This window comes from Homo sapiens, chromosome 4 (genome assembly GCF_000001405.40).
Source record: "Homo sapiens chromosome 4, GRCh38.p14 Primary Assembly".
Classification (NCBI taxonomy): domain Eukaryota; kingdom Metazoa; phylum Chordata; class Mammalia; order Primates; family Hominidae; genus Homo; species Homo sapiens.
In genome coordinates this window covers 31,599,970-31,619,779 of record NC_000004.12, presented here as the reverse complement: position 1 = coordinate 31,619,779, position 19,810 = coordinate 31,599,970, and the positions used below count along the sequence as shown (strand labels likewise).

General features: G+C 34.2%; 2 annotated features.

Moving 5' to 3' along the window:
- Positions 5,234-5,733: an enhancer, noted in NCBI's record as "H3K4me1 hESC enhancer chr4:31615669-31616168 (GRCh37/hg19 assembly coordinates)". NCBI's record gives its function as "activates a minimal SCP1, AML or CMV promoter by ChIP-STARR-seq in primed H9 embryonic stem cells {active_cell/tissue: H9 hESC(primed)}" and the evidence as "EXISTENCE:reporter gene assay evidence [ECO:0000049][PMID:30033119]".
- Positions 5,734-6,235: an enhancer, noted in NCBI's record as "H3K4me1 hESC enhancer chr4:31615167-31615668 (GRCh37/hg19 assembly coordinates)". NCBI's record gives its function as "activates a minimal SCP1, AML or CMV promoter by ChIP-STARR-seq in primed H9 embryonic stem cells {active_cell/tissue: H9 hESC(primed)}" and the evidence as "EXISTENCE:reporter gene assay evidence [ECO:0000049][PMID:30033119]".

Sequence of the window (19,810 nt, the reverse complement as noted above, 5' to 3'; positions counted from 1 at the left end):
AAAAAGATATCTTTGTGTTTATATTAATTAAATTTTGTCCTCAATCATATATCATTTATAAGTAGTAAATGTTATTAAGCATAAAATAATAGATTTTTTTTCAAATTATGCTTATTACTTTTAATAAAGCAACTTATGTTCTGAAAAAAAATCATTGAGTGGGAAAGCATGAAAATTCTGCTTCTCAGTCTAAATTGGTTCAAAGGGAAAAGAAAGTGGTTTGGATCTTGAGGTCATAAGCAGGGCTCTGATACTTGTTATTACCAATGCAGGCAATAGTCTTCAGAAGAAATAAATGCCTCCTGCAGCACTGATCTTATAAACTCTAAAAACAAGTAATAGATGTCAGTCATAAAAGCAGACAGGACAATGAAAGTCAAATCTGGTTTGTGAGTTTGCCCACTTAATGCTCTTGGGAAATTAAAGGATTTACATCTCATATGAAATCCAATAACATTTTAAAAGCATTTTTATAACTTTCCAGCTAAGAAAAATTATTTAAATATTCAAGGACAAGCAGCCATGATCATCTTTTAGGATCATTAACTTTTTCTTCCTACAGCATTAAATGTACTTTATCCTTTTCTTAATGCTTCCTTAATGCTACTACCAAGAAAAGAAATTGATGATAAATACGCTCCAGGCTAAGAGTTTGACACTATCATTTAATGTTTTGCTTGAATTGAAACACTCCTAACTATTCACATAGTAAATCCATATCCTCTGCAGAATAGTTCAAGTTTAATCCTTATTTCATTTTCTCTGGATTTTAAAGCATTCCATGAATGCCTGGGTAGATTTTGCATTTTTGTTCAAGGGTTTTAATAATTTGAAACAAATCATTTATTTTCAATTTCAGGTTATGTATTTGGAATATTTGCCAATGTTATTAATCATGCAAACATACAAGCAGACAACTGTATTAGAAAATGTATTAAATGGACTATATGGAATATTACAGTTACATTAATATGTAGAGTATATAATTGAACACATATGCACATATGTAAGCAGAGAAATACGCATTAGAAACAGTTAAATATATAATATACAGTATATTATATATAGCGTATGTGTGCATATATGTATATAGGGAATATATCAAGATATATAATACCACATATTTAATACATACAATACACATAGTATGTGAAAGTTGTAGATACCACGATAAAGTCATTCTTATTGGCCCTAATCAAATTAGAACTAGGAAAGCACGGAGGAGGGCAGCTCATGCTTGCATGTGTAAGATAAGGATTGTCTCAAGGACTCTCTAAAATGACCCTAGAAGGAGTTTCTTCTTCAGGACTGCAGCAATTCAAGTAAGATGCTCTGGAAAGAACACTTGCCCAGTAAAGGCATCTCCACCAATGGACTGATGCCAATTTTATCTTTGAGCCTCCAGAACCAAAGAGCTCTATTCCAAGCAGCTTAGAGGTACTAATTTTTTTGCCACTAAAAGCTGCCCTTTATCCTCCCTTATTTGAATGCACCGATGTCTTGTGATGGCTATGCTTCCAGATTAAAATCTTTTTTGTACACTCCCAAATAAACTCATCATATTCTGACATATTTTTCTCTGATGTCCTTTTTTTTTGTTTCTCATTTTTTGTTTTTTTTAGGTTGATATAATCTGGTGTCAGAAGTGGCCCTGAAGCAAGATGAAATTTTGAGGGAATCACTGACTTTTGGAATCGACTGAAGTACCCACAACTGAGTACTTTGTACTCTTCACTTCCTTAGGTCACCTTTTTCTCTCCAGGTAAGCCTTCTCTCAGGTCCAGTGGGCTCCGTTTGATAGCAGCTCCCTGAGGACTTCATTTTGGATCTAGTTTGATTAACACTAACTTAATAAAAAACCTTGCATTCTTTCTGGGACAATAAAGATTTTTACACTTTTTGTCTTTTCTGGCAAGCCCTTTCTGGTACTAAGACAGTTTCTCTTTCTGGACTTGGTGAGTACTCTTCTGGTTTCAGTTTTATTCTGAGTTGTTTGTTCATGTTTATACTTTTGATTATTGGTAGGCTTTTCTTCTCTGTGTTTTAACATTTATCAATAAGAATGGAATCCCCAAATTTCAATGCATGCAACAAAAGTTCCCCTTCTGAGACCTCGGTTAGCTATACATGTAAAAATTATGGTCCTTTCCTGTGCACATTTTTAAATCAATGGGCAAAGTACACCTGAACTAGTTTAGATATTCAATGGGTCCTCTTGACAGTCTGTTAGTTTCCCAAACATGTCTCTCTTAGGGCTGAATTAAAATATCATGGTTCTAAAATTAACAAATCGGAGTGAAAGGCATACTTCAATTGGAACTTTGGAACTTCTAAATGCATTCAAGATTCAAAAATTGCCTCCATGAAAGATATTGTCTCAAAGCTGGCTGAGACTCTCTTTTTCAGAGTCTTCCTTCCCTTTCCTATGCCTCTTTCTCTTTATTCTTTTGTGAGCTAAACTCTCCTTGTCCAAAATTCCTCAGCTATTCTGGCATATTGACTATTTAAGTAAAGATACTTGAAAAATAGCAGGTATAAAAATATTCATTCTGATGTTTGCACTGTTTCTTAAAAGCAGAAGATGAAATTGTCATGTAATAGGCACCCTGTCTCCTTATGCTTGAAAAAAAGGTAACACAATTAATCTTCAAGGATAAAAAAATTAAGATAAAGATAATACTGTATGGACCTGGTTAGAATAATTGTTATCTTTTAAGCTTCCTTACATTATTTTGTCATATTTTCACAGTTAACTATTCTTTGTCCATTATTTTGGTAACTAACTCTTACTACTTTACCCCAAATTTGGTGCACAGTCTTATAAGATATAAGTCTTATAAGATTAAGTACTGGGATAACTAAAAAATATTAAAGTTTAGCCTTGACTGTTTTGTTAAAAATATAATTTGGATCCAACTGTCTTCATATAACCTGATGAAGTTATATTATTAATACTATGTTTTATTCACAACTAATCTTTTAAAATAAAAATTGTAAGGCCTTTCTGTAAAGTGTTTGTTTTTGTTCATCTGTATTTTTTAACTATATGCTTATAGGTATGTGATATTTTTCTACCCAAATATATAAAAGAGCTTCACTGACTGAAAGGAAAAATGTTAAGCACCTGAATTAAGCTATTTATAAAAAAAAATAGTGAGTGATTAACGCAAATGCCTTTTTGTTCATAATGACTTATGTAAATCTTTGATGAATAAGCTGGTTTTAAATTTGTTGATAAGATAAAAATTAAGATGTTATCAGAATTGTTAGAGTACTTTTTTTTTGCCTAGATTTGCTGGCTAGACTGTTTATTTTTGTCTTTGATAAATATTTTAGCATCTTAAAAGTATGAGTTTGACCTAAAAGCAAATGTATAGATGAGAGTACAATGCATATAAAGCAAAATTATTTAACTTTTAGAGTTTTTCTTTGACAAAAAAATTGAAATTATGACAAACTCAGTTTAATATCTCAGTTTTCATAACTAATCTAGGTATAATTGTTAAAAATAAATAAATTAGGTTAACTTAAATAGGGTATTCATTTATAAATTAACATTTTATGAAATATAAAATATTTAAATTATGTAATAGATATTTAATGTCTGAATCTTTTGGGTTTTTAAATTTTTTTTGTGGGTACATAGTAGGTGTACATATTTATGGGGTACATGAAATAGTGATACAGTCATGCAATGTCAAATAATCATTTCTAAGTAAAATAAAATACAAAAAAAATTGGCGAACATAAGTTTGTTATAAATTTGAATATATTAATATTAGTAAATATGTCTTATTCTACATTAAAATATTCTACAAAATATGCTTTTTAGAGGTTATGAATGATATATTTATGAGATGTGAGATAACAGTTCAAAATTACTTCCTAGGTTTTCACTAAAAATTACAGTTGCTAAATTTTCTGATTAACATATGTAATTTTGTATGTAAAATGTACAAAAACAGTAATTTTATATGAGAAAGAATTTTCTATTGTCTCAATGATAAGAGAAAATAATTAAAAAGTGAATTTTTGTCCTAAGGTAAAATGATTGATTTTTCCAGTATTTAAAAAAGGGGGAAATATAGGACAAAGACTAGGGGTTTAAGAAAATGATAGATCTAAGCCAGTTGTGGAGAGTTTATGAAAGTTGGGTCTTATTTGTGGTTTGGCTGCTGGATGTAGGGAATTGTTTATGTGTTTTTCTAATAATTGAGCATTGGTGTCAGGGATGAACTGGTGCAGGACTAGAGTCTGTTTATTTATGTTTGGAGCAATAAGATTTTTTTAGAATGTTGGTCTATCCTTGGGGGGAAAAAAAAAAACAAAGAAAACTGCAAGAGGTTTAGTTTAATTCTGAAATCTGTTCCTCTAAATTTTCAATCTTCTGAACTGCAGCCCTACAGTTTAGAGCAATGTTTTCCTCCAGTATCACTTGATTATGTACTCTTGGCTTTCTGTGATATGTCTGAATTTGTTCATGTAAATAGGAAATTTCCCATGCTTTTACTAAGGTCCATGTATTTCCCCACTCAAGGTGTTTACATTATTCTTCTATAATGTGATGTATACTCATAACCTTGAACAAACATTCTTCCTGTATCAAACTGAATTCAAGTACCTTTTCATTAGGTCCAACTTTCAGGTTATCTAAATGGGCTTTTCATAAGTAGAAACAACCATGCTACAGGAGCTTTTTCTTTACCTCATTGGTAACTAGCCTAAGAAACAAAGATTTTACACTTTAATAAGATTATTTACTGTATTTAATGTTGTATTTGTTAGTTTTTTTTTTTTTTAACTTAGGAAAACTGAGCTTTGAAAGAGTGTTGTTGTTGTTGTTGTTGTTTTATCATTCATGTAACTTTTTAAATTGTTTTTGAAGTCTTTTGATTGTCACTCTGGTTAAGTGAATTACTGTTATTTCACAATGCCATGTGATTGATAGCAGCAGGAGGCAGACAAATTCCTAGGCAGACAGGGATGGGTCCCTGGTAAAACCTGACCTTCAAACCAAAGACAATTTAAAGCCTGAAAACTGAGCTGCCAGCTCAGTTTTTGACTGGAGTGAGAACTTCCTCGATGCCTTTTAGCCAATCAAATGGTGATTTTTCCAGGCCTGCCCATGGACCAATCAGCATGCAATCCCCCATTCTGAGCCCATAAAAACCCTGGACTCAGCCACACATTGGGCTATATGCTTTCAACCCCTCTCACATGGAGGGCTACACGCTTCAGGTCTGCTCTTGTTTTCAAGAGCTTTTCTGTTACTCAATAAAATTCTTCCCTGCCTTGTTCACTCTCTGGTGTCAGCATAACGTCATTCTTCATGGTTGCAGGTCAAGAACCCGGAACCCTCCCAATGGCAGGGGTGAAAAGAGCTGTAATATGGTAACCCTCCCTCCAGCTCACTGAGCAAGCGGGGGGAAAGCTGCTAGGCACCACATACCCCTGTTCACTGCACTGTGGGTGGCAGAAACAAATGAGCTGTAACAGAAATGAGCTGTAACATGACCCCACTTCCACCTGTTTCCTGCACTGTGGGTGGCAGGAAGACGAGAGAGCTGTAACAATTTCTGAGGACTTAGACCTTGGGACTCCTGGGAGAGAGCCATAACACCCCTTGGGACTCTGTGGTTGCTGGCATCTCTGAGTTTTTGAGTGACGCCACATCCACCTCATCCAGACTCTGGCACCCAAGGTTGGAAGCAGATCACAGCATGCCCAGCCCAGCTGCAGGCTGAGTGTGGACCTTGCAGCAACCACAGCCTGCTGGGCAGAGTGGGTGGAGCAAGCCCAGTGGTGAGCCTAGAGCCGAGTGAAGGCTGTGCAGAGGCACCAATGGCCACGATTTCCAGGTGTCAAGGAGCACTTAAAGAATCCCATTAAGATCCCATTTTGATCAAGTGTTTTAGACCTTTTGACATCTTTGTCAGGCTTTCCTGTGATTAAATTATGTATATATATATATATTTTTTTACCTCAAACCAATGTTGGGATGTTTCAGAGAGTCCTGGAAAGTCTCAAAGGTTTATAAAAGAGAGATATTGAACTAAATCAGGCTTTTTGAGATGTTGGGTAGATACAGAAAACTTTGTCAAGTGAGAAGTGATGCTAGATCTTCTTTCAGTCAATGTATGGGTATATTATTCATATGAAGTTTCCAAAATTATATAAAGTTCTTTAAAATCTATGTCATCAATAATAATTTTAGTTTTTATGTTGTTTACCACAAAAATAACTAAATTTCTTTGTAATTGTTAGTTAACGATGAATTCTCCTTCGATTTTTAACCACAGCTAGTCTAAGTTTCATCACTCACAGTCATTGTTTCAATATTTCTTAAAGGCATGTGTAATCTGATTCTTGGAAGACTCTAACAAGTACTCTTGAATACGGGATTCTGATAAATTTAAGATTAATGAACTAAATAAAGATTTTCCAAAACTCTAATGAAGAAATTGATTAATTCATAAAATTGTTAATCAAGACGAAGAAGAACAAAAATTAATTACATGAAATTAAGTAACTGATTAAGGTAATGTTTTTATGAGTTTAACTTAAAACATTGTTGGTTCTGTAATTAAATGTTTTATTTTCCAGATTTAAGAAAAATTTCTCTCTTGGGCTATCTATAATTGACAACAATTAGGTAAATTATACTTTTGTGAACAAACGTGAAAACATTTACTTTTTCTCCCTACTTGATCTCTCCAAAATTTAAAAACTATTTTGAGCATTCTTATTTTTTATAGCAATAAGAATGTACATTCTTTATAACAAGATAAAACTGGAAATTTTGGTTATATTACCAAGGCTTTGGAATGACATATTTAAATTGTTTACAGGTACTGCAGAAAAAGGCTAAAATCTGCTTTGGTTTGGCTACATAGCCTCTTCAAGTATATCTATGTATTGCCAAAGCTGTACTTCATTATAATCATTTTTTTCCTACTCCTGAATAAACTCATTATATTAGTAGATACTTTTCGCCAGTGTCTTTTCTTAGATTGACAAGTATATAATTATATGTATCATATTATAATTACATATTAAATGTTTAGTTTTTTCAACCATCTTTTTTTGCTAATTTTGTATCAAATTGGAAATAACCTTTATATTTTCATATTAAAAGTATCATATGTACAGATCTACTCAAGCTGAGTGTTAAATATTTCATTCAGAAAGAAGATTATGTACATGGTACTTATCTACAATAGAAACAGATATAATAAAATAATTAATTGCTGAACCTGTCAACCTCACTAACGAGTTTCAGGCAATGCGATTAAACATTGTGTTTATTCAAGTGCAAAATTTGTGAATGGCCACCTGGAAAGACACAGACTCTAAAACATGGGCTCAATGCTCCATAGTGAAATTTGAGGGTCACTTATATAAGCAAGGTTTGGGGAAGCTTAACAGGATTTCAACATATTTCAAAGATGATCCATGCATTGGTACAGCATTTTGATTGGTTATTCGTAATGTTTCCTTTGAGAAGTGCATTTAACATTCCCTAATAAGAATATAATAGTAAAAAGGGTATTTTATGTTAGTCAAGGTTATCATCTGTGATCCAGGTACAAGAAAATGAAGAAGCAAATGAATGTATACCGTTAGGTCAGTAATTAAGAAGCAATGCTCCATGACTTGGTCTCAAAGTCAACCAGAGTAAACAGACTATCCTTTTTTATTTTTCACAATTTCCCCTTTTCTTCAAGATCTTTTGAATAGAGCATCACAGAAGCAATATTTTATTAGAGAGTAATTAAATCTCACATTGCTAAGAAGACTTATTCTTAGAGAGTCATGTCCTAGGGAGGGAGGAATTGTTTAATTTATAAAATGGAAAAGGGGTAAGGCTGGATTATAAGGCATCAGGAGCAAAGTAACTTATGGGGTGCAGTTCAGGTCACATGACCATATTTTCAATTAAGGCAACTTTCTAATCAATCATTATCCCAATTTTATTTGCTAATTGTAGGCAAGGTGAAACACAAGTCGTAAGTAATTTGATAACTGTAAAAATGACAACTATGTTTATGATTATGATAATAACTACTTGAGGAGGAGAACAAAATTAAGAAAGCATCCCCAAGGGTAGCCAACTAGGCAAATCATTCAAAGGATCAGTTTCTCTTATGTCTTGTAACAGTTTAGCCTTTTGGGTTATTCTTTCTAATCAAGTCTCTACTTCTCCAGAGGTGTTAGTACAGGCACAACAAGTGGTGTGTGCTATTACACAGACTCTTCCTTTTCTGCCAGTAGTCTCAGGCAAATCTGTTATCTAGTAACACCTAAGCTAAGGAGTTCAAAGATTTTTGTTGAGCTGCAATGCCTTTTGCAGTGTCTTCAACCGTCCGACCAATAGTGCCTGATAGGTTTTGAATCATATCTCTAGTGATATAAATTCCAGCACTTAGGATCAGTATATCAAAAATGTTTTTACCTAAGTTATCATCATATCCTTCTAACATAGTCCTTTTATTTAGCTCTGTAATGGAGAGAGAAAAGCAGTTATTTTATATTTTTATGTAAGTATGAGGGAGTTACAAAATGCCCTAAAAAGCATAAGCTATTTACCAGCTATAGAGGCAGCAACGTTGCCTGCCCAACCTTGAGTAGCCAATCAATCTTGATATCACATGCAAATACATAACTTGGGAGAGCACAAAAAACTCCTCTGAGGGTATGTTCATTAATGGCCTCACTAACAAGATGGCTAGAGAGCATTATGTCCATCCAGAGATTTCCTTTTTTGCATATTTGCAAGAACCTGCTCACATTACATGAAATGAGAGGAATAAGTTGACAAAGCATAGATTCATTGTTTTCAGCAATCCATTTCTTAATTCAATAAGGAATAGAATGAAGAAGGCCAGGGCCAAATTCCTTCTGAGTAGATTTGATAGCAGATAATTTTAGTCAACATATAGAAGCATTCATTAGTTTCATGAATAATTTGGACTTGAAAAGTCAGCTTGAAGGGAGATTAGTCTGAATAGGTAATGACATTAGGAACATCTGAAAAATTAGTGACAGGTATTACAAATGACATATATTGGTCATGAACAAATCTAGGAATCAAGTGACAGATCCAACCATCAGATAAGTTTCCTGCAGTAGCAGTCCTTTGGAATAGTTTAATCAAAGTGTCATCATATCATTCTACACATTGAGACAAAGGAACAACCATAAGAACTACCTACTAAAGTTGTAAAACAAAAATTGTATCAACAGACTAGAATGGGCAAGGGAATAATTTTTTTTTCTTTTTTTTTTTTTTTGAGACAGAGTCTTTTTCTATTGCCCAGGTTGGAGTAAAGTGGCACCATCTTGGCTCACTGCAACCTCTGTCTCCTGGGGTCAAATAACCATTCCACTTCAGCCTCTGGAGTAGCTGGGACTACAGGCATGTGCCACCATGCCTGGCTAATTTTTGTATTCTTATAGAGATGGGGTTTTGCCATGTTGCCCAGGCTGGTCTCCAACTCTTGAGCTCAAGTGATCCACCTGCCTCAGCCTCCCAAAGAGCTGGGGAAGAAATTTTCTATATCATACAAAATAATAACAATTAACAAGATTTCTAAAACAATGATTATAATAGTCACTAGTAGATAAGTATAAGCATTATTTACCAGACACAGGCCTGGACTGGTATCATGGAAGAACTATCTACCTTAGTTGTCTTTTTCTTGGCCTTGTGTTGACTTAAGTCAAAGATCATCTTCCAGTAAGTCAGTTCATTCAGGAGGCTCAGCCTTCTTTAGATGAGAAGTGTGAATCCATGAGTTTATGCCTTCTAGCCTTGCAGCACAATTATTCTTAAAGTACCTCTTAGGGACCTTTCTATTTTGGTTGAGGAGACTCCTTTAGAAGATATCCTTTCCAGTAGGCAAAATCTTCTGGCTGAAGTCCGTGGGTTTTACCTTTTTTTGGTTCCCAGGATTTACCATAAAATATATATTTTTCAACCAAATTGTAATTTTTAGTTAGTTGTTTTATAAATCCATTACAGTAATGTAATATGTGTCTTTTTTGCATTATGGATTCATAGTTTCCTGGTGATAGTTTCAAATGTCTACCTGTTATTACCTTAGTTGGAGATACCTCATTTCTGAGGTTCAGCAAAACCAATGAAAGAGCTTTTGACCACAAAATTTTAAAAGCCTTAGTTTATTTTGTGAATTCAGTTTTAGTTATTTCATTTGTGCATTCTACTAACCCAGATGATTGAGGGTGATATGAACAATGAAAATGTTGAAGAATTGGCCACATCTTACATATTGACTGGATAACATGTCTGGTGAAGTAAATATCTCTGTCACTAGGAAGTTCTAGAGGGACTCCGTAAGTCAGAATAATTTTTTTTTCCAGGAGAATATCACTTACCACTAAGGCTATATAATATTCTGTATAAAAAATGTTTCTGCCCAATGAGGAAACATACAGATCATCACTAGAACATACCTGAATCCTCATGACGGGGGTAGCTTGATAAAATCTAATTGCCATACCTTGAGGGGGCTTCAGGTGAAGGAAAGTGTTCTTGAGAACTATGTAAAGTTCTCCCTTGATGATATTTTGAGAAGATATGGCAGTGACTGTGTATCTTATGGTGGTATTAAGAGAAAGTTTCCAATGATACTGATTTCCACAAGCAACCGTTTTATCAGGACTCTCATGAGTTAAATCATATACATAAGTAAAAAATAATGACTGTAATTCAGTACAAAGTATAGGCAAGTCACATAGCCCATTCCTTATGTTATCCTTAAGGGAATATGTTCCCCCTTTTGTTTTCTAATTTTCTTGTTCTGCTTTTAGAGCTCCAAACTGAGCTAATTTTATGTCAAGTTAGGGGTTTCTTTAAAAGTTAATATAGATTGTTTTTCTTGCCTAGATATATTTAGAGCAAACTTCTTTGCTAATCAGCTGGTTGTTCTGTTTTTTGTTTTCTTTTCTTTCCGGAGTATCTGATTTGTAATGATCTGGGATTTTGGTTATAATATGGCTTCTAATAATTGTGAAATAAGGTGTCTATTTCTTATGAACTGACCAGAAGAGGTTAAGAACACTATTTGTTTCCATAGCATTCCAAAGTCACAAGACTCCAAAGGCATATCTGTTGTCTGTATGAATATTAGCAGTTATTCCTTTTTCCAGCTGACAAGCTCTAATTAATACTATCAATTTTGCTTGTTGAGCCAATGTTGCTTCTGGAAGATAAGCACTTTCTATTTCTTCAGCTAAGAACACTATAGCATAAACTACATGACAGATTCCAAATTCATCTTTTAAGGACAATCCATCTGTAAATCAAACATTAGTGCTAGTAAGGGGAGTTTTGCTTAGGTCTATCTTAAGACACAGGAATTGATAAGCTCAGGTTACACAATCATGTGGTTTTTCATCTTAAGGTAGGGGCAGAATAGTAGCAGGATTTAGATGATCACACTCAGAGTTTATAATATGAGGTGCAGAAAGCAGTCAGACTTCATAAGAGGGCAGCCTGCTAACTGAATAATGCTGAGTGTGGTATGAACTTAGAAGTACTTCTATAGAATGTGGAACAAAGACAGTGAGGGGAGTTTCCATCACTATTTATTTGGTTGCTTTACTAGCAGGGCAGTTGCTTTTATCACTCTCATGAAAGATGATAGTCCTCCAGCCACTGGATCCAACTGCAGACTATAGTATCCTGTAGATCTATTATGATCCCCAAGTTTTAGAATCAGAATACCTCGGGTATTAAAAAAATGTAAACAATATTATAATTTGAATGTCCTAAGGCCAGGGCATCTATAAAATCCTTTTTAATTGCTTCTAGTGTTAACTGATTTTCCTCTGTCCATTCCAGAGGCCCTGGCTTGTCTTATTTTAAAAGAATATATATAGTCTGAGTTTTTTTTTAATGGAATCCAATTTCTTTATTATTTTGCCAGCCCCAGAAATCCTCTTAGTTGTTTCTTAGTTTTGGAACAGGAAAGTTTCATTAATGTTTCTTCTATCTACATTAATGAAAAGGTCTTTATTTGATATTGGGTGACCTAAATTTAAAACTAAAGTTTTTCCTTTGAGACCTTGTATCCCTTTAAAGTCAAATGTTGTAACAAGTGAATCCCATCTCTTATAGAGGCTTGCTTATCTTCTGAACAGAAAAGTAAATCATCCATATATTGTATTAAAGTGGATTTTTTTAAAAGTCAACATTCAAGAAGTCTTTTTTCAATACTTGTAAGAAATAAGTTGGGCTCTTCGTGTATCCCCAAGGCGTGACCATTCGTATTTATTGTCTGTCTTTCCAAGTGAAGGAAAAGAGGAACTGACTGTTTTTATCAACAGAAATGCTAAAGAACACATCATATAAATCTGTAATAGTAAAGAATTCACCTTCAGTCGGGATGGCAGCCAACAATGTGTCGGGGTTTGGCACTACTGAATTGCAAGGAATGACTATATTGTTAATTGTTCTTAGATCCTATACAAACCTCTACCCTCTATTGTTTTGCTTTCTCACGGGTAGAATTGGAGTATTACATGGACTTGTGCAGGGAATAAGTCAGTCTCTGTTTATATAATCTAAAATGATATGTGTTATTTATTCCAAGGCCTTAGATCTTAGGTGGTATTGCTTAAGGTTCAGAAGAAGCTTTGATCAGTGTATTTGGATTTTAATTGGAGCAGCCAAGATAATTTTTTCAATATAAGTGGAGGACTTTGACCATAATTGATTAAGTACTGCTTTTAGCAGCTTCTGTAATTCTTCATTACTTAATAATTCAGTAACCTTTCTGGAAACATGAAGGGCAATTTGTAACTTAGAAGGGTCCAGTTTTAAATGTTTGGTGTCTAATATTTTTAATTTTTTTCTGTGTTCTAATTCTAAATACATTTCCCCTTTTGGGAAAAGAAAATGTGGGTATCGGATAATTCTAAAAGTCCCTATCACATGGATGGGGACTGTTGGAACTAAGAGGAAAACATGAGTCTCTTGTAAGTTACCTATTTGAAAAGCCACAGGCTGAGATTTATGCACCGATACAGGAGTATTAGTGACACTCGCCACTTGAACTGTTTGTTTACACCAAGAAATAGGGCCTTGTAATAAGGTGGGATTTATTACAGATAATGTAGCTCCAATATGAACAAGTGTTTGTATGAGTTCTTCATTTAAAATAATTTCTATTTTCCCAGAGTGTCAGTAGGAGACAAAGAAAAGATCACTTCAAGTTCCTTGGAGAATCCCTATTCTTCCTTTTATTTTTTTCTTCATCTGGTGCTATTCCTCACACTTTAGTTTTCTGCAATCCTTTTTAAAGTGATCAGGTTTCCTGCAATAACTGCAAAGCAAAGGGTTAGGTCCATTGTGAGGTTTGTAGGTGCATTCTGGAAGCCTGGATTGGGTATATAGTTGTTTTAACTGTTAACTTATAACTTTGTTAGCCCTATTCTTTGTTTCACTTCTCCTTTCTTTCTTCTTTAGTTAAGGTATGAGACAATGGATGGGCAAAATTCACCAAATCATGAGTTTGAGACACATTCCAACTAGAGTGTTGTCTTTTTATTACTGGTGTTAATTCTTCATCTAACCATTTATGAAATTGGAATTGGGGAGAGTATCATTTTGATGATTAGTATAACTCTCTTACCTGACTGTTGTTTAAAGATTTTCTTCAAATCTCAAAATATGGAATCACTGACTCACCTGTATTTTGTCAACATTATTGTATTTTATTTCATCAACTATTTTTTGAAAGACTAAAAGGATGGTATCAAGTAAAGCTTTAGCAACATCATAGGCATGTCTGTCATCAGTATCTGAAAGTTTTCCAAGAGGTTGGTCCAATCCACCATACCTAGTCAATCTGTAGCTTTACTTTCTGAAACTAACATGTGAACTAGTTGATATAAATCAGAAAAAAACAGTATCACAAACTCAAATATTCAGTTCGTATTTTGTGCAATAATGAGTACTGTCCTGATGAGGGTCAGGGAAGTCTTAATTGTGCCTTTTAAGCTCTATCTTTGACCATCATTGAGAAAGCAAGGCAAGTCCTCCTCTACCGGACACCAGATGTTTGTGAAATGGAGCCAGAGCAGCAGGAGTAGGATGAGGAGAAGGTAGATCTGCACAAGGTAGTTCAGATAATAAGGGATAAAGAAGGAGCTAAGAATGGTGGAGGAGGACTTCAGCAGTCTTTTTCAAATCAGAAATTGTTCAAGACAATTTTTTTTTGTTTTCTTCCTGTGAAGAAAAAGCTTTAACAGAAACTCTTTTGGAAGCTTTCAAATGCTGTTGAAGATAACTTTCCCAATTGCTCTATTTTATTTTAGAGCCTTTTTTTTTTTTTTTTCTAATTGAGCATGTCTAAACTAGGCATTTCAAATGAAACTCATTTTGGCCACTGTAATCTGGGGTCCTCGCAAGTTACATATGACCAATTTTTAAAATATTTTCATGAAGAGACACCATAGGTGTTAAACAGAAACCCAGTTGGGGTTCCTAAAGGTGGGTCTGTCTTTAAGGTGGAAGGTGTGGTTTTACATGCACAGTTGCCCATAACTTAGAGCTTCCCTTCCTGAAGGACCAAAAGACGTAGGGAGAGCCTTTTGAATCAAGTGTGCTTCTTGTGGGAATGATTTATCCAGGTGTTACCCTTGAGTTACTTCTTCCCTTTTACATTCTCAGTGACTCCAAGAAACTTGGGTGCTTAAGGTTCTAGGTGATCAATCATTTATGAGTGCCTACTAGATTAAGTGAAATTCCCTTTACGTTCTTCTTATGGGATCCCCAGTGAGACCATTACTTGTCATGAGCAATTAACTTCAACACTCCCACTAGAAGAACTTAGAGAATATTCTAAATCTAAAGAATAACAAATGAAACTCCTACCTTGCATCAGAGCTTTAATTTCAGTCCTGTTAAGTTAGGAATGTATAGCTTGAATAAAGTCTGAATCCTTAAGCAAGCTGGGAGGATTCAAACCCAAGAGAGGCCTCACCAGGGATCCCTGCTAACTATGCTGGGGGTGGAAGAACAAAAGTTGTTTTTACTGATAGCAAGGCACTATCTGTTGTCAGTGACAAGGATCACTGGAGGTTTACTTGAGGTCTTATCTGGGTCACCAAAATGTTAACCTTAATAATGAGATTCAGGCAATATGATTAAATATTATGTTGATTCAAGTGCAAAGTTTGAGAATGGCCACCTGGAAGGACACAGACTCCAAAAACATGGGCCCAGTGCTCCGTAATGGTTTCAGGGTCATTTATTTTGGCAAGGTCTGGGAAAGCTTAACAGGATTTCAACATTTTCCAAAGAAGATTAGTGCATAGTTACAGCATTTTGATTTGTTATAGATGTCTCTCTTGGGAAGGGCACATTTAACATTTCACATTAAAGATATAATAATCAAGGCTTTTTTCTTTTTTTTAATCTCAGTCAAGAGATCTTTTATCTTAGGTCCAATGATGGTTAATATTGAGTGTCACCTTCATTGGATTGAAGGATGCAAAGTATTGTTCCTGGGTATGTCTTCGAGGGCATTGCCAAAGGAGATTAACATTTGAGTGAGTAGACTGGGAGAGACAGACCCACCCTCTATCTGGGTGGGCGCCATCCAATCATTTGCCAGCATGGCTAGAACAAAACAGGCAGAAGAAAGTGGGAGAGGGTGACTTGCTGAGTCTTCCAGCCCTCACCTTTCTCCCATGCTGGGTGCTTCCTGCCCTCGAATATCAGACTGCAAGTTCTTCAGCTTTTGGACTCTTGGACTAACACCACTGGTTTGCCAGGGGCTCTCGAGCCTTCAGCCACGGCTGAAGGCTGCACTGTCAGCTTCCCTACTTTTGAGGTATGGACTCAGACTGATCCACTACCGGCTTCCTTGCTCCTCAACATGCAGATGGTCTATCATGGGACTTTACTTCGTGATCATGTGAGTCAATTCTCCTTAATAAACTCCCTTTCGTATACACATATATCCTCTTAGTTCTGTCCTTCTCAAGAGTCCTAATACAGTGTCATCTAATCTGACTCTGGTACAAGAAAATAAAGAAGGAAGTGAATTTATAGCAAAAGGTCAGTAATTTAGAGGTTGTGCTCTGTGATTTAGTCTCCAAAGTGAACCTTCCTCAGAGCCTAACAACTTTTAAAAGCCCCTACATATCCAGACTATCCAATTTCTTTCATAAACCATTAGAATATAAGTATATGAATTGTATGTTTTTATTTCCATTAATATTTGAATTTGTCCTCATTTATTTAAGATGGGCTAACTTTCTTTAAATCCTTCTTCCAATAAAAAATATAAATTATTCAATGTCTATATCAGAAATAGAACATCAACTTTGTTTTGCAAAGGAGCATAATTATTGCCATGATTATGCCTGAATTTAGACAGCATTGACATAGGTTATTCTGTGTATTTTTCAGTACTAAAAAGTACACATAACAATTGCTAAGTTATCATAAAGTAAATTTTATTGGAAGTTATGGTAAGCAGAATAATGGCTTCTCTAAAATGTCTAAATCTTAATCCCAGAAACCTGTGAATGCATTCTGTTATTAATACATGGCAAGGAGGAATTAAGGTTGTAGAGGAAAGTAAGGTGTCTAATAAGATAATTTTGAGATGGGGAAATTAACCTGGATTACTCACATTGGCCCAATGTAATTACAAGGGTCCTTATAAGTAAAAGATTGAGACAGAAGGCCAAGAGAGCAGCCTGTAGAAGCCTAAAAAGGCGATAAACCTGATTTTCCACTATAGCCTCCAGAAAGGAACACAGCCCTGCCCACACCTTGATTTTAGCTCAGTGATACTCATTTCAGACATCTGACCTCCAGAAATGTAAAATAATAAATTTGTGTCATTTTACTTCACTAAATAGATGACAATTTGCTACACCAACAATAGAAAACTAACACAGACATTATTCTGTGATATGATCACAAAATTTTCTACAACTTGAGAGAAATTGAACTGGAAAATCATAAGCTTCATGGAAGAGTGGGAGTTTTCATCATTTATATTTATATGAAGAATGTCTAGCAAGACCTTAAATGATGACAAATGGCAACACTACTAAAATTTTACCCAATCAGAAGTTTCATGCCCTAGAGCTCTATTGGAAAGAAAATGGCTTATCAGTAAGTTTTATACAATGCATAATTATTTAACAAAGTAAATGACAAATTTTTTTTGTTTGGTATATATCACAAGTGGAACCGCGTTTCATGCCCAAACTTTTTATTTCTTGATCTTTTTAGTTAACAATAAACATATTTACAAATTTCTATTTCTATATTTGGGGATTTTTGCTCTGAAGTTGTAGGGAGTATTTTTATGGGTTTCTCTTTTTGGTTTCCAGGTGTGGTTTCCTGCCTATCTTCTAAGGGTAGGAAAGATGACATTAGAGAAAGGGTGAGATATATTAATACTTAAGTTCTATTTTGCATTCACCTTCACAGTACATAATCATGCAAATCACAAATTAAGGGCTTAATAAACCCGTGATTGTAGGATTGAGATTTAATTTTGGGGGGAATAAATATGGTGGAATTTCTTCATTCATTTATTTTTTTAAATCATTAAATGCTAGGTCCAACTCACTACTGAAACTCCTGGGCCAGTAAATTTTTTAGGGGGAAAAAGGAAGCTTTTTAAAAATTTTTTCTTTTAGCAAGCTTCTTATGGAAGTATACTATGCAAATAGCTAAGTGCACAGCTCTTATACAGTTTGGTAAATTGTCAGAAACTGAAAACACCTGCATAACCAATGCATAGATCTAGATACAGAACCTCACTTACTAGCAGTCCAGGAGCCCTAAGCTTTTTCTTTCTGTTCATTACTCCAATCAAATGTAATTGATTTGCTGGCTTCTGAAATCAAATTTTGACTGCTGATGCATGTTTATAAACATACAGCAATGAAAACATACAAAAAACTATTTTTGTCTGGCTTCTTTTCCTTAATATCATTTTGTGAGATCAATCTAAGTTGTTGCTAGTAGTTGTAATCCAGTCATCTGTGTTGCTCTATAGCCTTCCCGCTGCCTGATTGTATCTAAAATTTATTTATTTATTTATTTATTTATTTATTTATTTAACTGTTGACAAACATCCAGGTAGGCTTCAGATTTCAGCCATTATAAATTGTGTTGTTATGAATATTCTAAAGCAGAATTTTTTACTGGATATCTGTACTTATTTTTAAGTACATTTCTCCTATTGAAATTGCTAACTCAGAAAAAGCATTTATTTAGCTTTGGTACCTCTACATAGTTTTCTAAACTGATGTTACGAATTTTCACAATCTCCAGGGGAGATCAGAGTTTCAGCTCCCCATGCAGGCTCCTACCTTTTAGTGTCTATTTTTCTCTTTTTAGCCAGTCTGGCAGGTGTACAGCAGTATTACATTGTAGCATTTATTACTTTGAGTAATAAAGCACATTGATATTTTTATATTTAAGTGTATATAGTGATTGAACAAGTTTTTCCATTTTTATATTTTCTTCCTTTTTCTCATTGATTTGTGAGACTACTTTAAATACCCCAACTTTGGGCCCTTTACTGATTATATGTATTGTAAATATCTTCTTTCATGCACTGACTTTACTCTTCACTCTATTAAGTTTTTGAGAAATGCAAATTTCTATTTAGTGATCTTTAAAATATATTCAGGTTAAGCAATGTTTTCGTACATAAAAGGTCTCACTATATTATTCTTCTTTCTTCTCAACATTTTATTGTTTTAAGGTCTCAGGGTAATCGCCCTATATCAAGCTCCTTACCCTTAATCACATTTGCAGTGTCCCCTTTGACATGTATGTAAACATAACAGATTCAGGGGATTTAGGCAGAGACCTATTTGAATGGTGATTATTAAGCCTACCAAAATGGATAAATATACGTAAGTATAAATTATAAATCTCCAAACAAATAATATATATAAGATATACTAATATGTAATAATATAATTATCAAATTATCAAAAAATTACTAAGTTAGAAGACGTTCTCCTGCAGAACAGGACGGGAGAGACAACTATGATCCTGAGCTTATTATATTAAAAGCCCTGTAGAACTATTTTCCTTTTATGCACAATAAAAATTTTAAGCATTAAATGAGTCCCAGGAACCAGTTTTTATTGTTGAAGTGAGTAGTCCAGTTTAAAATGTCATGAATTTTTATTCACCAAATTGCATACCATTGAGACTTATAAAATAAAACCTCATAAAAATGTAAGGCAAACTTACATATGCTTCTTAGTCTTTAACAAATTAAGCACACACACCCACACACACCATACTTGCAGGTATTGAATATATATATTTTTAAGTGAATTTAAAAAGCTCATAGAAAATTGCTTAAACATTAATTAAACTACAAATAAAAAATAATATTTAAAATGTAGAAAATTAAAAATAGTACTGATGAGTTTAAATTCAGCACAATGGAATTAATATAATTTTTATCTATATTCTTCCCAGAAAAAAAAAAAGAGAGTGTTGAAAGGACAACAAAACATCGAAAAGATCAATCAAGCAGTGAGAAAGGTTAGCACATTCTCAGAAAAACTGAAATAAAAAGTTGTCTTATTAGAAAAACAAAGATTATACCACAGTGCCTTATAAGACCAATGGCATACAAAAGTAAGAGTGATTATGTTACTTTATTCTAGAAAAAAATAGGAATAGATGAATCATGTGCCTAACAAGAAAAAGGTGAGAGGCAAGGCTGAAAAAGAGGATTATTTGATGAGCAGGTAAATTCCCAAGTCCTTCCAATAAAGACAAGAT